Source organism: Homo sapiens, chromosome 4 (assembly GCF_000001405.40).
Source record: "Homo sapiens chromosome 4, GRCh38.p14 Primary Assembly".
Taxonomy (NCBI): Eukaryota; Metazoa; Chordata; class Mammalia; order Primates; family Hominidae; genus Homo; species Homo sapiens.
The window spans coordinates 122898599-122922714 of record NC_000004.12 but is presented as its reverse complement, the minus strand read 5'-3'; the positions used below and the strand labels follow the sequence as shown (position 1 = coordinate 122922714).

At 38.8% G+C, this 24116-nt stretch overlaps 1 protein-coding gene across 2 annotated transcripts in view, besides 1 other annotated feature; it reads left to right on the top strand.

Moving 5' to 3' along the window:
• NUDT6 (nudix hydrolase 6) overlaps positions 1–24116 on the top strand; it is a 30392-nt gene that overhangs the window by 254 nt on the left and 6022 nt on the right. The window contains exons 1-3 of one of the 2 annotated variants that reach the window (NM_007083.5): positions 118–380; positions 5011–5214; positions 10092–10147. In NM_007083.5, the coding sequence (NP_009014.2) occupies positions 143–380; positions 5011–5214; positions 10092–10147 (498 nt within the window). In that variant the 5' untranslated portion in view covers positions 118–142. Of the gene's footprint in view, positions 1–117; positions 381–5010; positions 5215–10091; positions 10148–24116 lie in introns of those variants that run through there. The other variant, NM_198041.3, reaches the window with a different exon arrangement.
• Positions 15607–15901: an enhancer, noted in NCBI's record as "tiled region #4593; K562 Activating DNase matched - State 5:Enh, and HepG2 Activating non-DNase unmatched - State 23:Low". NCBI's record gives its function as "activates a minimal TATA promoter and a strong SV40 promoter by Sharpr-MPRA in K562 cells, with weak activation in HepG2 cells {active_cell/tissue: HepG2 | K562}" and the evidence as "EXISTENCE:reporter gene assay evidence [ECO:0000049][PMID:27701403]".

Here is a 24116-nt window from a genome sequence, read left to right as displayed (position 1 = left end):
TCCTTGGCATAGCTCTGCAGAGTGGTAACCCCAGCTCAACTCTGAGGGTATTGATGGCACTCTTCTAAAATGTACGGCCGCGATCTCCGCTCTGGAGCGCGGAGGGGTCATTTGGGCAACGGACGAATTAAGCGGCGTGGAGATGCGGCAGCCACTGAGCTGGGGCCGCTGGCGCGCGATGCTTGCCCGAACCTACGGCCCCGGGCCTTCGGCGGGTTACCGCTGGGCCTCGGGCGCACAGGGTTACGTGCGGAATCCGCCAGTTGGAGCGTGCGATCTGCAGGGCGAGCTGGACAGATTCGGGGGCATCTCGGTGCGCCTGGCGCGGCTCGATGCGCTGGACCGCCTGGACGCTGCCGCCTTCCAGAAGGGCTTGCAGGGCAAGTGCGCCTGGGACGAAGGGCTCCCGGGGCTCCAGAGCTTTTCTAATGAAATAACCGCGGCCCCCACTCCCTAGTCGCTCTGTGCACCACTGTCGAGCCCAGAGGGAAAGGGAGAAGGCACGCGTGACCTGGACCTGTTTTCTGGAGCATTCGTGCTTAGACCTTTTGCTGGGAGGTCTCTAAGGCGGTTGGGTGAAATGGTGAAGATCCCGGACTTTGGGATCTGCAACCCTGGTTGCTGGTCCACTTTCTACTGTGCGACATTCGGAAATTGCCGTAAACCACCATTTCCTCTTCCACAGACCCCGGTGATAAGAACTCCTGGAATTACTGAGAGTTAATTTGGATAATGCACATAAAGTGCACAGCACAGTGCCTGCCACGTATTTAAAGCTCAGTAGATGTTTGTTAATATTATATTATTACATTATTAGTATCCTTTACCGAGCCTTGGTTCTGTCGGACACTTTTCCCAAGGAAAAAAACTCTTACATTCTAATACGGGTGGTGGACTGAGTGGACCAAAGAGGCTTTTCTTTTTTATTTTTAATTTTTGTGGGTCCATAGTAGGTGTGTATGTTTATGGGGTATATGAGCTATTTTGATAGAGGTATAAATGTGTAATAATTACATCAGGGTAAATGAGATACTCATCACCACAAGCATTCAACCATAATCCAGTTACTCTTAGTTATTTTTAAATGTACAGTTTGTTTTTTTTTTTTTTTTTTTTTTTGAGAGAGGGTATCATTCTGTCTCCCAGGCTAGAGTGCAGTGGTAGGATCAGGGTTCACTGCAGCCTCCAACCCCTGAGCTCAAGCAATCCTCCCACCTCAGCCTCCTGGGTAGCTAGGACTACAGGCGCGCATCTGGCTTTTTTCTATTTTTTCTAGAAACGGTGTCTCACTGTGTTGCCCAGGCTGGTCTCAGTCTCCCGGGCTCAACTGATTCTCCCGCCTTGGCCCCTCAAAGTGCTGGGATTACAGGCAGGAGCCACTGCACCCAGCCTGAATCTTTATTGAATATAGTCACCCTGTTGGGCTATCAAATACTAAACCAGAGAGGTTCAGAGTGTCACATTTGTATACAAATTGGGTCAACAGCTGTCTCAGCGAGAACTGGAGTTTTTTAGAATAACGCTTCTTTTATGATTAACCAGGGACGGTGGTGGGTGGTTTCAGTCTTCAATAAGAAAACTTTTTACTGGCTTTCAACCTTGAGCCCAATGATAAGAAAGCTTGGATGGAGGAGCCTTCACTTTGGAAGAAGTCGATTTAGTGGTGCAGCAGTTTTTCAAACGGCCTCTGAGGGTTTTATAATCTAATTGAAGGCATAGCATGCAAATTCAACTATGGAAAAATCTCTCACACTGGAAACTCAAAATAATCTTTATCCTATTGAGCAATATGGCAAGAAGCATATCTGTAAATATAATTGAGCTAGTTATTTCAATGTTTACTCATCCTCATTCCCAGACTTCTTACCTCTTCACATTATTTTCTCTCCTACTTGCTAGTAATTGCTGACAAGCCCGCTTATACTGCAACAGTGTCACTAATAGGAGAATCAATCGTTTTATCTTCCAGTGTGTGGGTAGACACAGGTGTTGTACCCACTGATACTTATCAATGACCAAACAGGTGATCAAAGCACTACCCCAGTCAGCATGACAAAGCAGAAAGCTGTGCGATTTGGAGGTGCACATTCTGGGTTTAAGTACCAGGTTCTGCCATGTGCTTAGCCAGGCATTAGGCAAATTGCCACCAAAAATATTTGCTTCTTAGCTTGCTTTTTGTGAATAACGCCAGCTCTAATTACTGGATAGATGCGTTGATCAAAGATGAAACTAATTTGTAAACTTAAGTACCAAATACTTGTTATATTTTTTCAATAAAACAAATTTTGTTGCACTTAATGGTAGATGTTTTAGGATCTTTATAAATAGTAATTAATCCTCCTAACAACCCTTTGAGGTAGATAGCATTATTATTCCTATTTTAAAGATGACAGTAGTGAGGCACAGAGAGAAAAATTTACTTGCCCTGGCTCTACACCTTTCTTACTGCACTATGCTACCTTGAAGAACTCCTGCTGGTTCTGTTGTTATAATTGAACAAAACTAACTGAATGGTAGTGCCTATAAAGAGAGACTATTTACACATGAAGTCCGCTATTCTTAGTCTTTATGGACTAAGAAGTCCATATTCTTGGTGGAATAAGAAGTCAACTATTCATATTCTTTTAGAACATGAACTATTGATGTTTTGTTACCAACAACTGAAGTTAGAGGGATAAACAGGCAATATGTTGTTAGCTTCACACATAACATATCTGCATCAGTAATGAAATAGCACTGGTTCTGGTCCCTGCTATGCCACTCACCAGCTATGTGACTTTAGGCAAGCCAGTCATTTCATTAGTACAAATTGAGCCCCAGTGCATAATGTAGGGTTACCCTGGAGGATTGCAAATGCATGGAATATTAAATAGAATTGGAAAAAATAGCTAATGGAAGAGATATCATTAGGTCATATGTAATAAGTTCTAATAAATTGTACAGACATAGTAGTCTTTAAATTCATAATGGTGAGCTCATGAGCAGTGGTTAGGAAAGACTGGTCAAAGATGTGGAATATGAGCTGGACTTTAAAGGATAGATATTAGCAATGGGAATGGGAGGTGAGGGAAGAAAAAGCAATAAAGCTTATTAGGGAAAAGAAGAAAGCAATTTAAAAATGATTCTAAGGTTTCAAGCATTGGTGCCAGAAATAAATAAGCTTATAAATGAAGCTAGTTTGGGGTGTAAGATTCAGTTTTGGCCAGGCGCGGTGGGTCACGCCTATAATCCCAGCACTTTGGGAGGCCGAGGCGGGCAGATCACGAGGTCAAGAGATCAAGACCATCCTGGCCAATATGATGAAACCCCGTCTTTACTAAAAATACAAAACTTAGCTGGGCATGGTGGCACGCACCTGTAATTCCAGCTACTTGGGAGGCTGAGACAGGAGAATCGCTTGAACCTAGGAAGCAGAGGTTGCAGTGAGCCGAGATTGCACCATTGCACTCCATCCTGGTGACAGAGCAAGACTCCGTCTCAACAACAACAACAAAAGATTCAGTTTTGAACACACTTTGTGAAGTCTGAAGTGGTAACCTTCAGGACAGGAAATGTCTGGGAGCAACTGGAGAACAGAAAGTTTAGTGTTCAGTGAGGTCAGGGCTGGGCAGCCATCCTCATGTATGTATCAGCTGAAGCAGTGAGAGTGGATTCTCCAAGACACAGAGTGTAGATATAAAACAGCAAGCAAATAGCATTGCTTTTAGAAAGTAGCCTTTTAATTTGATTGGAAGGATTGCCTGGGAAGGAGCACATGTGAAATGTATGGAGTGATAGAAATGTTCTATAATGTTAAAGTGTGTTACGGGCATATGCATATGTCAAATCGCATGAAATGTACACTTAAGATTTGTACATTTCACTTTATGTACTTTACCTCAATTTTTAAAAGATGTCATCAGACAAAGAGAGCAAGGTGAGAAGGACCTGATCCCATAATTCCACTGCATGCTAACTCAAATCAGGAAGTCTTTATTAAAGGCCCCATGTGCCTGTCACTGTGCTAGGCACAGCAACTTTCAAAGAGGTAGAGAACATTGTCCTTAAAGAGAGGAGCTTCCTGCAGAGCTAGGGAAAAGAGAAGGGAAAGTTAATTAACTATTTGATATATAATCAACCCCCAAAGACAGACACACACACACGCTTTATAGCGTTATTATAAAGATTAAGTGAGATGATGGATGAAGAAAGTGATCTGAAAAGCTTTTCTAAAAACTCTAAATCTGAAGTATTTATTTCTTCACCCATAAACTTAAGGTAGTAATACCTTTCATGGTTGTGCACTTAATGAGATAATATATATAAAGTGCTTGGAACTTAGTAAGTTTCAAATAGATATTAGCATCTTTTTCCCCTGGCTCAATCTTAAGTAGTAAAGAGAATTTAAAGAAGGCAAAGATAGAAAACCTATAATTATGTTCACCATGATATTATCTATAATAAGGAAAAATTAGAATTTTATTCCTATATGCTAGTAAAATGTGAAGTTTGATTTCTTCATATTTTTTATTTTCAAAATTTCTACAACCAGCATACATTATTTAAAAACAAAGTTTAACTACCTTGAAATTTATACATTAAAAACATTATAACAGAACTCCTAAAGGAAGAAAAAAATAGAAGTCCATAATTGTCTTTAAGATTAAACCTAAGGATGTTAAAAGGAACAGCATTCAAATGGTATTTGATTCGGTTTAAATCCTTTTATTTGTCCACTCTAAAACTACAGAACATCTGTTACGTGCCAAGCATTGTCTTTGGTGGTATGGATATAAAGGTCAGCAGTGTAATGACTTTATTCTGAAGGAATTCAGTCTGATGGAAAAATCATATAAACAAGGTGGTTACTATAAAACATGGTACTTCCAGTGCCAGCGATGTGAACAAGACATTTGGGGACCTCTTTTGCTTAAAGATGGTTTCCTGGAGGAGGCGAAACCCTGAGGTGAGTTTTAATTTATTCCACTCGTCTCTTTGGAAATTATTTAGACTTTTTTCTTCTGCATTTAGCTGCAGTACAGCAATGGCGATCAGAAGGTAGAACAGCTGTATGGCTGCACATTCCCATCCTCCAAAGCCGATTTATTGCCCCTGCTGCTTCCCTGGGCTTCTGCTTTCACCACGCAGAATCGGATTCATCAACGTTGACTCTGTGGCTGAGAGAAGGGCCCAGCAGATTACCAGGATATGCTTCACATCAAGTAGGAGTTGCAGGTCAGTTTCAAACTCATGATGAGCAGAATTAACTTTTTAGACGTTCACCCAATTTCTTGCTTGTTACAGCTAAGCAAATAGTTTATTCATGTGGAATGAGTTATTTGATTAAATGATTACGGTGGTTCCACCCTATCTGCACAGGATGTGTTCCAAGACCCCCAGTGGGCACCTGTAACCGCAGATAGTACCAAACCCTATGTATATATACCATGTTTTTTCCTATCACACATATTTATGATAAAGTTTAACTTATAAGTTAGGCACAGTAAGAGATTAACAGTAACTAACAATAAATTAGAACAGTTATAAAAGTATAGTGTAATAAAAGTTATGTGAATGTGGTCTCTCTCAAAATATTGTTTTGTATTCACCCTTTTGTATTCACCTGCACGATGAGGTGAAGTGAGGTGAATGACAGGCATTATGACCTAAATGGAAAATTCCAGAAAAAAACTCTTAAGTTTTAAATTGCATGCTGTTCTGAGTAATGTGATGAAATCTCTCACCATCCTGCTCTGTCCCACCAGGCCGTGAATCTTCCCCATATCCAGTGTATCCATGATCCATAGGCTACCTATCCATTAGTTACTTAGTAGCCTTCCCTGTTATCAGATCAGCTGTCCCAGTATCACAGTACTTGGATTCAAATAACCCTTATTTTCCTTATTAATGCCCCGAAGCACAAGAGTAGTGATGTAACACTTCGAGACTATGGTTGACCTTGTATAACTGAAATCACAGAAAGCAAAACTGGACAAGGGGGACTACAGTATCTATTACATAGTGCTTTTAAATAGGACTATTACATAGTGCTTTTAAATAGATGAAGTTTGCCTCAATCAGTAGACAGACGCACAGAGAACAACTTTAGTGTTTAGTTTTCCAAAGGATATGCTTGAATATATTTTACACATATAATTAAACTTCACTACTCAAATAGTAGCACTGAATTGGGATCAGGGAATAAATTTATTGCAGAGTAAAACATGTTGGCACTAATTATGTAAATTTGTAAAGTAAATGATCATTTTTATGTTGAATTTCAGGTAAAGCAAACCAATTTTTCAATGATTTGAACAATTACTTCTTAATAATATTTACATTATTGTGCCAAACAGTTGTTTAAAATCGTGTAATTTAAGTGTAGAGTAGAATTTTGAAGTGGCTGATTAGCTTCAGAGACATAGGAAAGTTGAGAGAAGACTTCCCTCAGAGTAAGACACAGATTCTCACATTGTAGATTGCATCAAAATCACCTGGAATCTTAAAACAGATTGCTGGGCCCTATCCCCAGAGTTTCTGATTCAGTAGGTCTATGGTGGGACCTGAAAATTCAGGTGATCTTCCTGGCTGTTTCTGTTTTTGCTGCTGCTGCTGCTGCTGGTGGTGGTCTCAGTACTACCCTTTAAGGACCAAAATTCTTAGATTTCTAGAAAAACTATAATAGTAAGGGATCCTTATGACCTTAATAAATGAAAGCAATGAAGCATATTAGTTATTTAATTAATAATTTTATTTGCCTTTATATAATTTACAAGAGTTTTTAAGGTAGTTTGCTTTTCAAGGCTTTTCAAGGAGTTGTTCAAGAATGCCTAATGATGTCTTCTCTGTCCCTGTCTTACTTCCCTGTAGCAAGTAGACATTCAGAAACTCTCCGTTCAGCTCTATTTCAAAAGATTCTACTCAATAATTTAGTGACAGCCTCACACTTCAATGGAAAGTTATGCAAATAATTATCATTCACGGGCACAGACTCTTAAGAGTTCCCAGTTATTACTACAGAATTGGTAATATATGCAAAAAGAGTATCCTATGAAGGGCCTGTTGATAACTAAGTACTATATTGTATATTGTACATTATAGTTTAGAGTGTCAGAGCAGTTCAAAGAATAAGAGATGCAGAACTTGACCAATCTTGAACACTAACTAGGATTTGAAGCCACTGTTGGGGGTGTGGACGAGGTAATGTAAGAAATTGTTCTGGAAAGGTGCAGAGTTGTTTTTTTTTTTTTTTTTTTTTTTTTTTTTGAGGCAGGGTCTCACTTTGTCACCCAGGCTGGAATGCAGTGTCATGATCTGGGCTCATTCCGACCTCCACCTCTTTAGCTCAAGTGATCCTCCTGCCTTAGCCTCCCAAGTAGCTGGGACTACAGGCATGCGCCACCATGCTAGGCTAATTGTTGTATTTTTTGCAAAGATAGGGTTTCGCCATGTTGCCCAGGCTGGGGTGCAGAGTTTTTAGGTGGAAAGAAAAATAATTGGCATTTGTTATAAACTACCGAAGGCAGATGTGGCTGGAATAGCTGGAGCCATTGCTTTCTTTTGCTTTTCAAACTTAGCAAGCTTGTGTCTGACTCAGAGCCTTGACATCTACTGGCTCCTCTTCCTGCAGCATGCTTCTCCAGAACTTTCTTTATCTAGTTCTTCATAGCCGAAGTTTCTGCTCAAGTGTCTCCTTCTCAGAAAAGCCCCTGACCCTTCTGTTAGAAGTGACTTCTCCCTGCACACTAGTGCCATCATTCCTTGTCCCTTTATCCAGCTCTATGTTTCTTTATGGCATTTATCACAGTCTGAAACTCTATTATATCATGTATGTAAATTAATTATATTGTATCACTTAATCTCCCCCACAATAATATAAACTCCATAAAGGCAGATATTTTATCTGTCTTGGTCACCACGATATCCTCAAGCTAAAGACAGCGAGTGACATAAAGTAGATATTCAATATTTTTTTAATGAATGGGATGGAAATGTGAGTCTTCTGAGAGAGAAGTTTCAGTATTGTTGAGGGGCAGCATTGCACAGTGAGAAGAGTGTGCCTGCCTAGAATCCAGACAGACTGGCTATCAGTCCCAGTTCTACCAGTTAGAGCTATATGAAGCCAGACACTCATATCACTCACAGGATTATTGTGACTTATACCTGAGCTAATGTACGTTGAAGCACAGTGCCTAATCATAATAATAATTTTTATGTTGTGACCAGCAGAGGTCGCTCAAATTGTGCTTTAGTGGTGCTGGTTTTGTCTCTGATACTGTGCTCATGTTTACAGTGAATTCATTAGGGACAAGTTCAATTTGAGTAACCACAAATTATTAAAATTTAAGAGTAAGTTTCCTTGGCATTTCTTTGGCAGTCTACCTCTTGTAAAGTCCAGTTAAATTATAGCTTACATTTTCTAATAGAAGCCAACATTAATGTTAATTATATCTCACTTGGTGATTTTCCTTCCTGCTTTAAAATAGTCAAGTGTGGTGTTTTCATTTCAATTGCATTTCAATTACTTTTCCCCATGTTACACATATTTATTCCTTCTCTATATTCTACATAGCATTTATCACCTTCTAATATTCTATATAATTTATTTTTTGTTTGTTTTGGCGCCTCCCCACACACATACCAGAATGTGAACCCCATAAGGATAGGGAGTTTCATTTGTGTTGTTCACCACTGTATCTGTAGCACCTAGAAAAGTGCCTGGCACATAGTAGGAGCTCAATTAATATGCACAGGATCTATGTACATTATATAGAGGAACTCAGTTAATACTGAAAGCATGGACAAATATGTAGAAAGTATCTTTTAAAAAATGTCATCCCACATTATTTAAATACAAGTAATGTTTAAATCATAACATCTAAAAGATCATAATAAAAATCACTAATACGTCATTTGTATTTTTGACCCAAGATTGCCCAAAGGGAAATATTTTTAAAAAGAAAGAGAGAATATGCAATGTGTATGATGAATGAATAAACAAAAAAAAATGAACTAGAACTTAAAACATATATAAAACAAAGAACTCTTCCAAAGCAGTATATTAGTAGATTATAAAGTTGTGTATATACATAATAAGAAAATTTAATTGGCTTCAGAAAGGTCTTGAAATGAATATTGAGATATTTGAGATTTGGATCATCAGGGGGCACAGCCTGTGTTGTATGCATAGTGATTCAAGGAATAAAAATGAGAAGTCAATTCATTTATTCAATAAATATTGTAAGCACATCTGTTGTCTGAATGTTTGTTCCCCCTAAAATTCATATGTTGAAACCTGATCCCCAATGTGATGGTATTAAGAGGTGGGGCCTTTGGGAGGTGACTAGATCATGAGGGCAGAGCTCCCATGAATGGGATTAGTGTCCTTATGAAAGAGGCCTACAGGAGCTTGTTTGCCCCTTTCACTATGTGAGGACAGGGCTAGAAGGCATCGTCTGTAAAGAATGAGCCCTTATTAGACACTGAATCTGCCAGCACCTTGATCTTGGACTTCCTAGCTTCTAGAACTGTGAGAAATAAGTTTGTTGTTTATAAACTATCCAGTCTGTGGTTATTTTGTTATAGCAGCCCAAATGGACTAAGACAGGCACTTAGTGTCTTCATGGATGAGGTGGTGGTACAGCTTGACCATCCCCAATCTACAAATCTAAGATCCAAAATGCTGCAAAATCCAAAAGTATTTGAGCACTGGCATGATGCCACTAGTGGAAAATTCCATACCTGACCTCATGTGACAAGTCACAGTCAAAATGCAGTCAAAACTGTTTTCATGCACAATATTATTTAAAATATTGTATAAAATTGCCTTCAGGCTATGAGTATAAGGTGTATATGAAACATAAATGAATTTCATGTTTAAACTTGGGTCCTATCCCCAGGATACCTCATTATGTATATGAAAATATTCCAAAATCCAGAAAAATCTAACACTTCTGCTCTGAAACATTTTAGATAAGGAATACTCAACCTGTATTTGAACCAAGGCTTCAAGTATGGGTAGAATTTTTATCACCACAGATAGAGAGTGTGGGAGGAGATTAAGGTGAATGAAATTAATATTTCTCAATTATCTTTTCTTTTTCCCCTAATAGGAGCTGTATTTGATGAAAGTACTAGAAAAATACTGGTTGTACAAGATCGAAATAAAGTAAGCTGCTTCTGTTTTATAAATTGCTTCCTAAATGTTTATTTCTTTCTAGAGAAGAATAAAATATAGAAATTTTAATATGCCTAAGGGGTTATAGAAAGGTATTTTAAAAATCATTTCTAAGCAGTTATGGATCACCTTAGATATTTATTTAAACCAAACTACTTATACAGACCTTGAAAATTTCCAGGTAACACTCAGTGTTACTATCTATTACTTTATGGCTAAAGGAAAATTATAAATGACTGTATTTAATTGGGAAGACAAGTCTGCTTTAATATATTACCAAGATATTCTTCCATTCATTCAGCATTCAATGAGTTTCTACTCTGTGCCAGGTGCTGAGAATATAAAAAGCAGTAAGACGATATACCTTATGCCCTGCAGCTTACTATTTATTTGGAAAGACAGTCATACAATAGATGACAGCAATTAACTTTGCCTGAAGAAGTCCCCAAAGACTTCTCAAAGGAGGTGAAATTTAAACTAGGTCTTGAAGAATGAGTAGGAGCTTTCCAGGTGCAGAAGAAAAAAAATAAAAAACAAACTGATAAAATTCGAATTGCTTATACAAAGGCACAGAGCTCAGAAAGGGACTGACATAGTTTAGAAATAATGGTAAAAAGTTCAGTGTGGCCCAGAATATGGACAGTGGTAAGATATTTGACTTGAGAGCTAGATTGGAAACAATGTGAAGAGGATTGGATACCAAGATAAGGAGTCTAGGTGACTAGAAGCAACAAATATTTCCCAGAGAAGTACCGTGATTAGGGATCAGATGTTTTCATGCTCAGGAGTCAGAAGTAAAAGTGAAAGAGAATAATGATTTTGATACTTTCTGAGACTTCAGCAAATATTAGTGGACATAGTCAAACATTTTTCCCCACCACATATGTTCTTAAAGTTTAAATTAATGTTTGTAATGATAGCTGAAAGCAGTGTCACATATTTCTTGGAAATGCTATCTAAAACTATTCTTATGGCTCCAAGTAACTTTGAAGTTTTCATTAAGGCAGGATCTCTGATTCAAATTAAGCTTTTTGTCCTCAACAGAAATTTATAGAACACCTAAAGTAGTATTGTACCTAGCCCTCAATAAGTTTTATATTTGAATTGGGACATATATATGTAACGGTTATGACCAGAGAGTAGGAGGCATTATTGAGTGGTAAAAGTAGGGCCTAGTCATGAGAACCAGGCAGATGAGTTTAGACTTGACATGGAAACAGTAACTATTAAAAGATTTTGATTGTGATGACAAAATGATGAAGATGATATATGGACAAAATTAATCTAATAACAATATGCAAATTAGCCTGACAACAGTATGCCCAATGAGAGGGAGCTGATATGAACAAAATGGACTTGGGAGCCAGACTGACCAGAGTTCCAATCCCTTTGCCACTTCTACTTTGTAAAGTTGGCTTCAACCCAGAGTGGATATTATAACTCTCTCCAATATAGCAGATAGATGATATGCCCGAAATACTGTATGTACAAGTAACATAAATTGATTAATTTCTTTTGTTATGTTTAAAACAAAACTATACTTTGGTATGTAGCAGTTACTTCTAAAGAGATACCATAAAAGGGTTTTACTGTCTTCTAAGTATATCCCTTTAATTATCTCTCTTTTCATTTAAAGAAGAAGTAGATCACCAGAATTTATTTAATCTTTCCTGGGCTCATGTGAATGATGTTAATGAGACAAAACGGAATCAGCAGACCCGGGTCCCTAGGATTTGGCCATGCCATTAACTGTCTTTCTGACTCTGGGGACCTAAGTTTCCCCATTTATAAAATTTAGGAGTTAGACTCAATGGTCAAACAAAATATTGTAATACTTAATTCTATGTATCTTCCATGTACATAGCATAAATACTTATACAATATATGGATAAAATGTGATCTAAGCCACTTTGGTAGTATGGAAAGAAAAGGGTAAACCATGAAGGTTTTTTAAATAGCACACTGGGTTTCAGAAGTGATTTTGTCAAATAAAATTTCATTATGGACTTTAACAGAGGCTGAAAGACAGCCAGATAACATGATTGTGCCACTCCAAGCAGTCCTTCAGGGTTGGTTAATCTACCAAATAAGAATCTAGCCATGTTATTATTCATGTCATAAAACACAGAAATTCATAGAAAACAAACTTGGGTATGTTAATGTTAAAAACTGCATTGGAATCTGGAAAAAAAGGAGCTTTCCTGGCAGATATAGCTGAATTGTCTTACTCCAAACCTAGACAGCTTTATGTTTTTTGAGTAGATTTTTTTGTTTCTTTATAAAACCTGCAAAGACAAGTGACTTAACAGGTTCAGCTTACAGAAATCAAACTCCCAGAGCAATCTGTACTTGAAATATGTAATTGAAAAGGAAAGAATTGAGTTGGGCTATATTTTTAAAACAGGGTAATAGTGAAAACTATGTTTAATAAATTTGCCTGAATTCCAGGTAAACCACTAAAACTTTTATGGTTCTCTGTTAAATCATGGTTGCACTTAATGCGTCTCTAGTTTTATTCATCTTAGTTTCAAATAAGTGAAAGTGTTTTCTGAAATGTTTCTTAGTGTTTTTCAACATAGTCAGAAAACAAAGGGAGATCCAGACCTAATGACAAAACAAATAAATAGGCGTCATCCCATTGTAGGGGAAAACTCAATCCACAGTGGCACTGTTTGCATCATTCTTTGGAATAACTGAGTTCATCCTGTAATGTTTACTTACAAAGATTCAAGTGGAGAGTTTTCCCTTTTTCCACTCTGAGTTTCTTTTGTATGGCCTTTACAGTCATTTGAAGGTCATACCTTTAGGCTTGGTGACTGTTGAGTAATTAACCCTAGATAGGTTCATGAATGGTTTATTTGGTGGCTCTTAGAACCTGTAGTCATCTCTAAAGAGAATTAAAAACCTTAATAAAGTGGTAGTACCAGCCTGTAGTGCACAGAAGGCTCTGTTCTGGCCTTTAGCCTCCTAAGAAGTCATAGCCAAACATTTGCTAATACTTATTCCTCTGTTATAGCACACATTCCTGATCCTAGTTTATGAGGTTTTCGGGGTAAAAAAAAAATTTTAATTCTATCATGTTTTGCTCTGTCAGTAGAAATAAAACCAGATAATCAAATAATTTGTGATGACATAAAATACTTGCATGAAATAATTTCCATGAAATGTTTCTCATTTAATAATCATACTTATTATTATCTCCATTATTTTAGGACTGAGATTTAGAGAGGTTACAATAACTTATTCAACATTATGCAACTAGTTAATAGGCAGAATCAGAAGCCTATAGGGTAATCTTTTCACTAAACCTAGACTAAAAAAACAACATAGGCAGGAATGGTGGTGCGCACCTATGGTCCCAGCTACTTGGGAGGCTGTGGTGGAAGGATTATTTGAGCCTGGAAGGTCAAGGCTACAGTGAGCCATGATCAAGCCACTGCACTCCAGCCTGGATGACAGAGTAAGACCCTGTCTCAAGAAAAAAAAAAAAGCTGGGATGGCGGGGAGATGATTAATTTAAGGAGATATAGAGTAATTATCAGTTCTTCTCAAAACCTAGGATGATGATCTATTTTTACAGTTTTTAGAAGACCCAAATAAAGACTGTAGACTGTAAGTAAGAAAGAAAGAAGTTTTTATTAAAAATCCTTTTGTTTTTTGCTCACTGAGATGGCTGAACTTTTCAGAGAACACATGATTCAGCAGTTGGTCCTTTAAAAGTTAACAAACTTTAATTGTTTTCCTTTACTCAGAGTTGTTTGGATTTTGAGTAAGATTAAGTCAGGGTAATAAGAGATTAATTTATAAATCAGAATGCCATTTTATTAATTCTGTTAATGGAAAAGTCAGACTCTGTAAAACATTTTTAAAAGGTTTATTTTGAACCAATGAATGACCTTGGTCTGGGAAATGCATCTCAAGAGGTCCTGCAAACGTGTGCCAGTGGGCAATTGAATTACAGTTTTGTTTAATAAGTTTGAGGGAGGCAGGAGTTACAAGCAGAGACATAAATCAATATGTGGATGGTATACATTTATTTCGCCTGAAAAGGCAGGATGTTTTGAAGAGGCAGGATGTTTAAAGAGGGGGCTTACTGGCTATAGGTAGATTCACAGATTCTCTAATTTACAATTGATTAAGGAAGTGAAGCTTTGTCTAAAAATTTAGAGTCAGCAGAAAGAATGTTTTAAGTTAAAATAAAGAAGTCTGTCAACCAATATTACACTGGGTCAGAGTGACCTGCAGGGTTGTGTGACTTAACCCTTGTCTGGCATGGCTTTAGATCCTGTTTATAATTTGGTATCTTATTGTCACAAAGAGTCCATTTTGTTACCTTATGTTAACATAATAATGGTCAGTTGTGACTAAACTCCAAAAAGGAAGGGGTATAATGCGGTGTGTCCAACCTCCCTACACATCATGGCTGGGGATTTAGTTTATAAGATTTTTTTGGGGTCCCCTTGGTCAAGAGGGGGTCCATTCAGTTGGGAGGGGTTTAGGATTTTATTTTTAGTTACAATTCACAGTAGGAGGAAAGGATCCAGGCTTTTTGTTAGTAGAAATGAATTGGAGAGATATTCCCAAATATGATATATGCTGCTTCCAAAATGTAAAAAAGTATTGCTCCAAGTGCTGTGAGTGGGGATAGTTGCAAGGTGCACCAAATCGCCCATACCTTAGAGATCTACAGATTACTGTTACCAGAAGGGGGTCCTGATCCAGACCCCAAGATAGGATTCTTGGATCTCACACAAGAAAGAATTTGGGTGAATCCGTAAAGTGAAAGCAAGTTTTATTAAGAAAGTAAAGGGGCCGGGCGCAGTGGCTCATGCCTGTAATCCCTGCACTTTGGGAGGCCGAGGCGGGCAGATCACGAGGTCAGGAGATCGAGACCAACCTGGCTAACACATGAAACCCTGTCTCTACTAAAAATACAAAAAATTAGCCGGGCGTGGTGGTGGGCGCCTGTAGTTCCCGCCACTCAGGAAGCTGAGGCAGGAGAATGGCATGAACCCGGGAGGTGGAGGTTGCAGTGAGCCAAGATCGCGCCACTGCACTCCAGCCTGGGTGACTGAGCGAAACTCTGTCTCAGAAAAAAAAAAAAAAAAAGAAAGTAAAGAAATAGGCCAGGTGCGGTGGCTGGTGCCTGTAATCTCAGCACTTTGGGAGGCTGAGGCAGGTGGATCACTTGAGGCCAGGAGTTTGAGACCAGCCTGGCTAACATGGTGAAACCCCATCTCTACTTTAAAAAAACACAAAAATTAGCAGGGCATGGTGGCGCATGCCTGTAATCCCAGCTACTCAGGAGGCTGAGGCAGGAGAATCACTAGAACCCAGGAGGCAGACGTTGCCGAAACCTGAGATCATGCCACTGCCCTCCAGCCAGGGCGACAGAGTGAGACTCGTCTCAAAAAAAAGAAAGAAAAGAATAAACAATGGCTACTCCATATGCAGAGCAGTGGCTTGGGCTTCTCCACTAAGGATACTTAGAGTTATTTCTTGAGTATATGCTAAACAAGTGTTGGCTTATTCATGAGTTTTCCAGGAAAGGGGCAGGCAATTCCCGGAACTGAGGGTTCCTCCCCGTTTTAGACCAAATAGGGTAACTTCCTGATATTACCATGGCATTTGTCAGCTGTCATGGTGGGAGTGTCTTTTAGCATGCTAATGCACTATAATTAGCATATAATGAGCAGTAAGGATGACCAGAGGTCACTTTCATCCCCATCTTGGTTTTGGTGGGTTTTGGCTGGCTTCTTTACTGCAACCTGTTTTATCAGCAAGGTCTTTATGACCTGTGTCTTGTGTGGCCTCCTATCTCATCCTGTGACTTAGAATGCCTAACCTCCTGGTAATGCAGCCCAGCAGGTCTCAGCCTTATTTTACCTAGCCTCTTTACAAGATGGGGTCACTCTGATTTAAACACCTCTGACAACTATACTTCTAAACACTTAATAGGGGCATCTCCTATCCTCTAGCACCTAGATGTCTTACTAGGACATCTAGAATACGTGACACTTCCTACTTTCCAGGTCCAGTCAGCATGCTGGCATCAATAGAGTTGGGTAGTGATAAGCCCTGGCATATAGTAACATAGCAGCTACTAAGATTCTTACATATGGAAAGGAATGAGGTACAGATGGAAACAGAAGTATTGAGTCGTTTGGTAGCCATGGCACTTTAAAAGTACGTAATAATAATTATATAGCTTTGGAGATGGCTAGCTTTTGTTAACTTGTTTAGATGCCTTGGCAAAATAAAAATGACAAGCTCAAGTCAGCCTGTCAATTCAAGGCACAATATGAATACCCCAAGACCTCCATGGCACCATTTAAAGAGACCCCTATATTCTCCAGCCACAAAGGCAATATTGAAAATCAGGCCTAGATCCAACTGTAAGAATATCAGAGCTGCAAAGGAGACTGAATAGAGTTTGACAAGTGTCCTATGTCAAAGCCAATCCCCTAACAGGAAAAGAGTGGGGATCCTGCGACCCTGAGTGAATGGACATAAGAATTTTGAATTTCAAATTCTCTTGAACCCTCTGAGCCAGTAGAAGCAGCACCCTTCTTCTGGCTACAGAAAACAGCCTCCCCTTGCCTGAGGGCTCTGCAAAAGATAGAGTATTTAATAATATTAGGACAGTGTACTTAAAATCAGAAATAGTCTGGAATATTCAGGATGGCAACCAGAACTGATGACCTCTTAGGAGTCATCAGTGCACAAGGAATCAGATGCACAAGAAATCCTTGTGCATCTTTACTGACTAGCCTGCAGTCTTAGCCTCCAAATATTTGTTAAAGGATTTGAAGAAACTGTGGAAGCCAGGAAACCATTTGTCATAGATGTGTTAGGCACTGAGTGACTTATCAGAGAATACCTGAATGAGAGATGACCTCTCGAAGTCCTAGTTCTGTCTGTGACTCATGGGTGAGAATATGGGCATAGCACTCCTAAAATTTCCTATGTGGAAAAGACCACTTTTATGTTGGCAGAGGTAAAGTATAACAGCACATAGAGGGGTAAGCAAATAATGGGACTGTCTCTGTGTAACATGTATACACACAGACATACATATGAATGATCATCCTCATTCGCATTCAAATAACAAAAGATCCAAATGTAAAAAGAACCTACTGAGTAAAATATGCTATGATCTAAAACCCTGGAAGATGCAACTTTAATGTTATAGTGTGACAAAACTACTGAGAAAATCAACTTAATGTAAGACATTAAGAAACTTGATTTTATTAATAATACCATTTAGCATATAGTGAATGTTTAACCTGTGCTTCACACTATCATATTGAGGGGTGAAGCCAGCTGGACTTCCCAGATCGAGTGGGGACTTGGAGAACTTTTCTGCCTAACTAGAAGATTCTAAACGCGCCAATCAGCACTCTGTAAAATGGACCAATCACTGCTCTGTAAAATGGACCAATCAGCAGGACATGGGCAGGGACAAATAAGGAAATAAAAGCTGGCCACTTCAGCCAGCAGTGGCAACCCGCTGGGGTCCCCTTCCATGCTGTGGAAACTTTGTTCTTTGGCTCTTCATAGTAAATCTTGCTGCTGCTCGCTCTTTGGGTCTGTGCCACCTTTAAGAGCTGTTAACACTCACCACGAAGGTCCGCGGCTTCATTCTTGAAGTCAGTGAGACCAAGAACCCACTGGAAGGAACCAACTCCAGACACACTATGTGCTGTATATTAATTACCTACTTTAATCATCATAGCAACCTGTCCTCATTTCACAGACTGGGAAAGTCAACCAAAAAGGTTAAGTCATAAAGTAGGTGAGGAAGAGGCGAGGCACGGTGGCTCACGCCTGTAATCCCAGCACTTTGGGAGGCCGAGGCAGGCAGATCACGAGGTCAAGAGTTCAAGACCAGCCTGGCCAACATGATAAAACCCCTTCTCTACAAAAATACAAAAATTAGCTGGGCATGGTGGTATGCACCTGTAATCCAAGCTACTTGGAAGGCTGAGGCAGGAGAATCGCTTGAACCTGGGAGACAGGTTGCAGTGAGCCAAGATCATGCCATTGCACTCCAGCCTAGCTGACAGAGCAAGACTCTGTCTAAAAAAAAAAAAATTATAGAAAGTAGGTGGGGAAGAAAACTTTTCATCTACCAACTTAGAACTGGGTGGAGGGGATGTTGCTACAAATTAATTGACAACAGATAGATTAACAGGAGAAAAGTTTAAGAGTACTCTATAAGGAATGCCTTGGCCAGGGGTAAGGGTTTATATACTGTATAGTATATCATCTTAATAAAAGGGGATACAGGGGTATAGGACTTCTAGTGAAAACATGCAGGCATAGTAGCTTCTGACAAAGTTTTGTTATGCAATTTCTCATCTAGGTGCTAATGGTCAGTCTCCTTCCTGGCTGAAAGCTTCCCCAACCCCCTCAATCCCCCACTCCTACTCAGGGGATTAATGGCAGCTTCATTCTCAGAAAGCTTTGCCTTTAGTCAGATAAGGGAAGCTCACAAATGCTTCTTTCTGCATCTGCTGTATCTTAAATATCTTCAGTTTAGAGTCATCATTATGCCATTCTGGTGGGTTGTGGGTCCCTTCATGTGGGACCATGCACAGTTAAAACTCAAACCTCTTGCTCTTCAGCTGGTGCTGGTTTATCTGGACCCAGATCTCTGAGAATGAGGCATCAGCTTGCTGGTGTCTCTTGGGAAGGGGATGCAAAATGAAGCTTCTTTTACAAATGTTAGGAAAACTTCAAACTGGATTCTGCTGATACTATGGGAAGGAAATGCTGCTGCTAGAGTGAAGCAGCCTTGAAGCAGTGATACTCACAGGAACCACGAGCACACAGAAGGCCCACATTAAGGAGCTAGTCCCTTCCTCCTCCAGCCTTGCAGTCTAATGGTGGAGCATAAAAGGGAGTCAGCTGGCAAAGCAGAAACTGGTTAGCAGAATCCCAGCTCCAGCATCACTAAGCAAGTACAGAAGGGCAGATTCGGAGCTGAGAGACAATAACAGCATCAACTTATTAAAAATGCAAATTCTCAGGCCCCACCCCAGATCTGTAGAATCTGAAGCTCTAGAGGATAAAGCCCAGCAATTCTGTGTTTACAAGCCCTCCAGGTGATTCTGATGTAAAGTTTGAGAACCACTAAACTAGCACATTGAGCTTCCTGGCTCTGCTGATTTTCAAACCTGCCAATAATTGGTCCTTTAAGACCAAGAAAGTGATGCTTTTCAGAATCTAGTCATGTTCACCCTACACTTTTAGGCAGTTGGTACTGGTAGAAGCTAAAGAAGTTCAAATTATATAAGAAAGTTTATTTGTGGATTAAGTAGGAATGACACTCCTAAGTAGGGTTTTGATTTTTTTAAGTTATAAACAGAGATCCATCAAAGAGAGCAAAAAAATATGAAAATTAAGAATTAACATATAGTTCAATGTTGTAATAAAAATAAGAGGAATAATTTAATTTCTGTAAATGTTTGGTGTTAGGTGATATTTCAATATAACTGATAGCTATTAATGATATGTAATTTATATTTAATGTTTAATAAATTAGATGTAGATTATATATACTTATTTACTTATTATAAACAACTAATTGGCATTCTTTTCAGATATCCAAGCCAGTTGCTCTCCTTTCTTTATGTACCTCACTCTCCCCAGGCATTAATGTCAAGTGTTTTTTGCAGAGGAAAATTTAACCCTCAACACGAGCATATGCACAAATTCAAACACATATCTAAATTGACATTCACATGTCCTTTCTCTTTCCCTACACACATATTCCAGTCCTTCATCCCTACCCCAATATTTTAGGTAATAAAGGACCTAACAGTGACTTAAACCCATAAACTGGGTGTTCAAGAGTTAAGGGTAGGGACCCATTAATTCATTCACTGAATATTACTGAGTTCTTATACATACTCTGCTGTATACACTGTTCTAAGCACTAGGTACACATCAGTGAACAAAGTAAAGTTTCTGCATAGGGAGCTTACATTCAAATGCATAAGATACAAATAATAAAACGAATGAATATTATATAAGGTGGAGATGTGTTATTAAGAAAAATACATGGTGCACTAAGCACTAGGTATACATCAGTGAACAGATGTATAGTTTCCACATATGGAGTTAAGCAAAGTTTCTACATATGGAGCTTACATTCAAATGTGTAAGATACAAATAATAAAATGAATAAATGTTATGTAAGGTGGAGATAAGTGTTATTAAGAAAAACACATGGTGCCAAGATAAAAAGAATGACTGGGTTTGCCATGTACATTATGTTCGGTATGCCCAATATACATTAACTTCTTTATGCTTGCCATATACATTAACTTCTGTATGCCCAACACCTAACAAGCAATAAATTTCTATTGAATGAATGAACAAACTTATGAGACACTCTGTGGTAGCTTCTGTCTCATTGGTAACAGTGATAATATTGTATCTAATGAGATTTATCTAAATACAGTAGGTCTGAATTATAAAAGGCGATAGGATTATTAAAGACTAGAACAATGAAAAATAAAAGATAACCAAATTTCTGGCATCTGACCAAGTTGGAGTAAAGACAGAACAAGAGGGTCACATATATATGAGAACCAAAGGGAAAAGGCTAGCAGGTCTGTGCCCTTGCTCTGAGTTCTGGAGATATGGCTGAAAGAAATTAGTAGTCTTTTAAGGGTTGTGTTTATACAAACTTCTGGTTAGGATTTCAGTAGCCATGCCTAGGGAAGGTCTTAAAATGAATCCTCTGCTTAGGAAAGCAGATGTCTGTGGAACGGGGAAAACAGAAAAAGAATCAGAAAATGAATCATTCCTTTCACCCATTCTAGAAACCCTCAAATAAACGAGTTTATCTTCAGGATAAGTTTTCAAAGAAATAGTGGTTTTAAACTTGAACATGCTTTAACAGAGAAAGTATCTTACATTCTGTTAATATCTCTAAAAAATGCATCAGAAAATTTACCCTTTCTTAGTAGCCAAAATGATTATTTCTTGGGCTAGCAATTTCTAACAGTGGGGAAGGAAGGATTGCAGAGTGATAAATGAGACCACCCTTACATCATCCACACTGTCTTCTGTTTTCCATTTACTGCTACACACACACAAAGAACATCAGACTTGTAATTGGCAAATGTATAGGAAAATTGTCATACCATTCACCATTCCAAAATATGATGGAACTAATCTAAATATGGTTTAAAATCACATATTTTTATAAGTTAAAAGGATACTATACCTTTTGTAGTATGTGAAAATCAGATATGCTTTAATATGGTTAAAATCACATATTTTTATAAGTTAAAAGGTTACTATACCTTTTGTAGTATGTGAAAATCAGATATGCTTAAAGGAACTAGACCTCACCAACTCAAAGCAGGGAGGGGTCATATATGTGAATGTTGAGTAGCACCCAACAAAGCAGCTAAGCACAAGAGCATTTTAGAATACTTGTTTCACAAGAGAGTGGAAAGTTCCTTTTTTGAGATTAGGAAAAAAAAGGATCATGGAATTTTACACTTGAGGCATAGAGATATCATCTTCTTTTATAGGAAGGGAGAACAAAGATGAAAACATAATCTCATAGGCTACATTTTCAAAACCAATCCTCAGTAATTTTTTTGCCATAAAACAATATACTGGAAAGAAAGAATAATAAAAGATCACTAGCTAAGAAATAAATTCCATGCCAATCAGAACATTCTAGATGGGGAAATCACAAGCAACAGATAGATACAAAGACATTTGGCACTAAACTGTAGTCCACATTCGTGAGCCCTGGAAAAGTGTAAGTCTAAGACACAGAATCTAATTGGATTTACATAGAATGTTCCAATTAGGTCCCAGGAAGAGATTAAAAGGTATATGAAAAAGCAGTGGACAGTCACTAAGGATTAGTGAGAAAATATCAAATCGACTTTTACAATTTCTTAAAAGATGGTTAGAACCAGCCTGCCTGGATTTTAACACTGAGTTTATCACATACTAGATGTGTGACCCCAGTCAAGTGTTTCATCACCTCTAAAGTGGGAACAAATTATAGCCTCTCATGGGAGTATTGTGAAGTTTAAATGTGCATAATTCTTATACAAATATTTAGCATAGCATAGGAGATTGGTCAGGGTGGTGGGAAAAATTGTAGAAAGATGCAAACCTTCTTGGAAGGCTGGAAGGTTTACAAAAGCTTCGGAAAAGGATTTCCGAAGGAAAAAAAGGAAGTTTAAATGTGCATAATTCTTATACAAATATTTAGCATAGTGTAGGAGATTGGTCAGGGTGGTGGCAAAAATTGTAGAAAGATGCAAACCTTCTTGGAAGGCTGGAAGGTTTACAAAAGCTTCGGAAAAGGATTTGGATGAAGGCAGCCAGATTCTCTTACCTGGTGCCTGAAAGCTTAGTTTAGGTAACATGGGGATGTAAAGAACCTGATCTAGGTAAGTTAACCGTTGGCGCACAGGACTAATCTCTCTGGGGCAGTGGTGGTGGGGGCCGGGGGGGGGGTGGCGGGGGTGCATGACCATGTTAATTACCCACAACTGTGTTGACTCAAGGCCTTTGTCATTAAATCTGTACTGAGTAAATGCCCGCAGCACTGGCTTGTCAGGGCCGTGGCTACTGCAACTCTTTCTATGAGTGGCCCAGTCCCCAGCCTGCTCTTTCATTGGATATCTGTGATCTGTGCCTGAGTGCATTTTTTCATCCGTCATTCAGTCAGAGACTGTGGGTCAGACCTGGCATAGCGTCTGGGGTCTCACTCTGTTGCCCAGGCTGGAGTGCGGTGGCACAATAACTCACTGCAGCCTTGAACTCCAAGGCTCAAGTGATCTTCCCATCTCAGTCTCCCAAAGTGCTGGGATTACAGATGTGAGGCACTGTGCCCAGCATTAGTATTTTAATGTTGTTGTTATATTGCCAAACACAGCTAATGGGAATTGTTTGATATAAAGAAAAAAAAGTGGGAAGACATGCTCATCTCACTACTGATCATATCTAGGACATTAACTAGATTTTTCACAAACCACATAGCTTAGGACTGTCTACTGCTTAAGACTATACTCAGGCTCAAACTTTTTTAGGGGAGAAGTAAGCATTTTAAAAACCTAAGTGGTGCCATAAAATGTCACAAAATACTTACCAGCATAAACATATACCTAATATTTCCATATAAAAGGTTTATGAAATAGTCAAAATCAAATTTGTGTGAGCTGTTTTCAATCCTTATGTCTAGCATTTTCCCCCTTCTAATAAGTTCATCTCCAGATTTAATTAACAATCTCTAATCATTTATGGTCAAAGATTTTTAAAGTTGACTTTTATTGTTTTTAGGAAACATTGGTCTGCTCCATTATAACTTTTCTTTTGTTAGAAACAGAACTTGCAGGCTGGTTATGGTAGCTCACACCTGTAACCCCAGCACTTTGGGAAGCCCAGGTGGGAGGATAGCCTGAACCTCAGGAGTTCAAGACCAGCCTGGGCAACACGGTGAAATCTCATCTCTAAAAAAAAAAAAAAAATTAGGTGTGGTGGTGCACACCTGTAGTCCCAACTATTCAGGAGGCTGAGGTGGGAGGATCACCTGAGCCCAGGCAGGTCAAGACTGCAGTGAGCTCTGATGGTGCCACTGCACTCCAGGCTGGCCAGCAGAATGAGACCCTGTCTCAAAAAGTAAATGGAATTTATGGTGGTAAAGTTCAACATCTTGTCAAGACAAAGACTGCATAGTTTCTGGAGAAATAAACCTTCTGGGAATATTTCCAAATGGAATCTAGAAGACAGTGCATTGATATAGAGGTATATTTACAGATATATTTCTACATTAATAAAGTAAAGCATAATATCCTTTATAAATTAATGTCAAGCCTAGCCCAGACACTGAAAGCCTGAATTCTGTACCCACATAATCAACAGTCTATGGAAACTCTGGGAACCATGCCACTGGTCTCCAACCTAGCATAGTTGA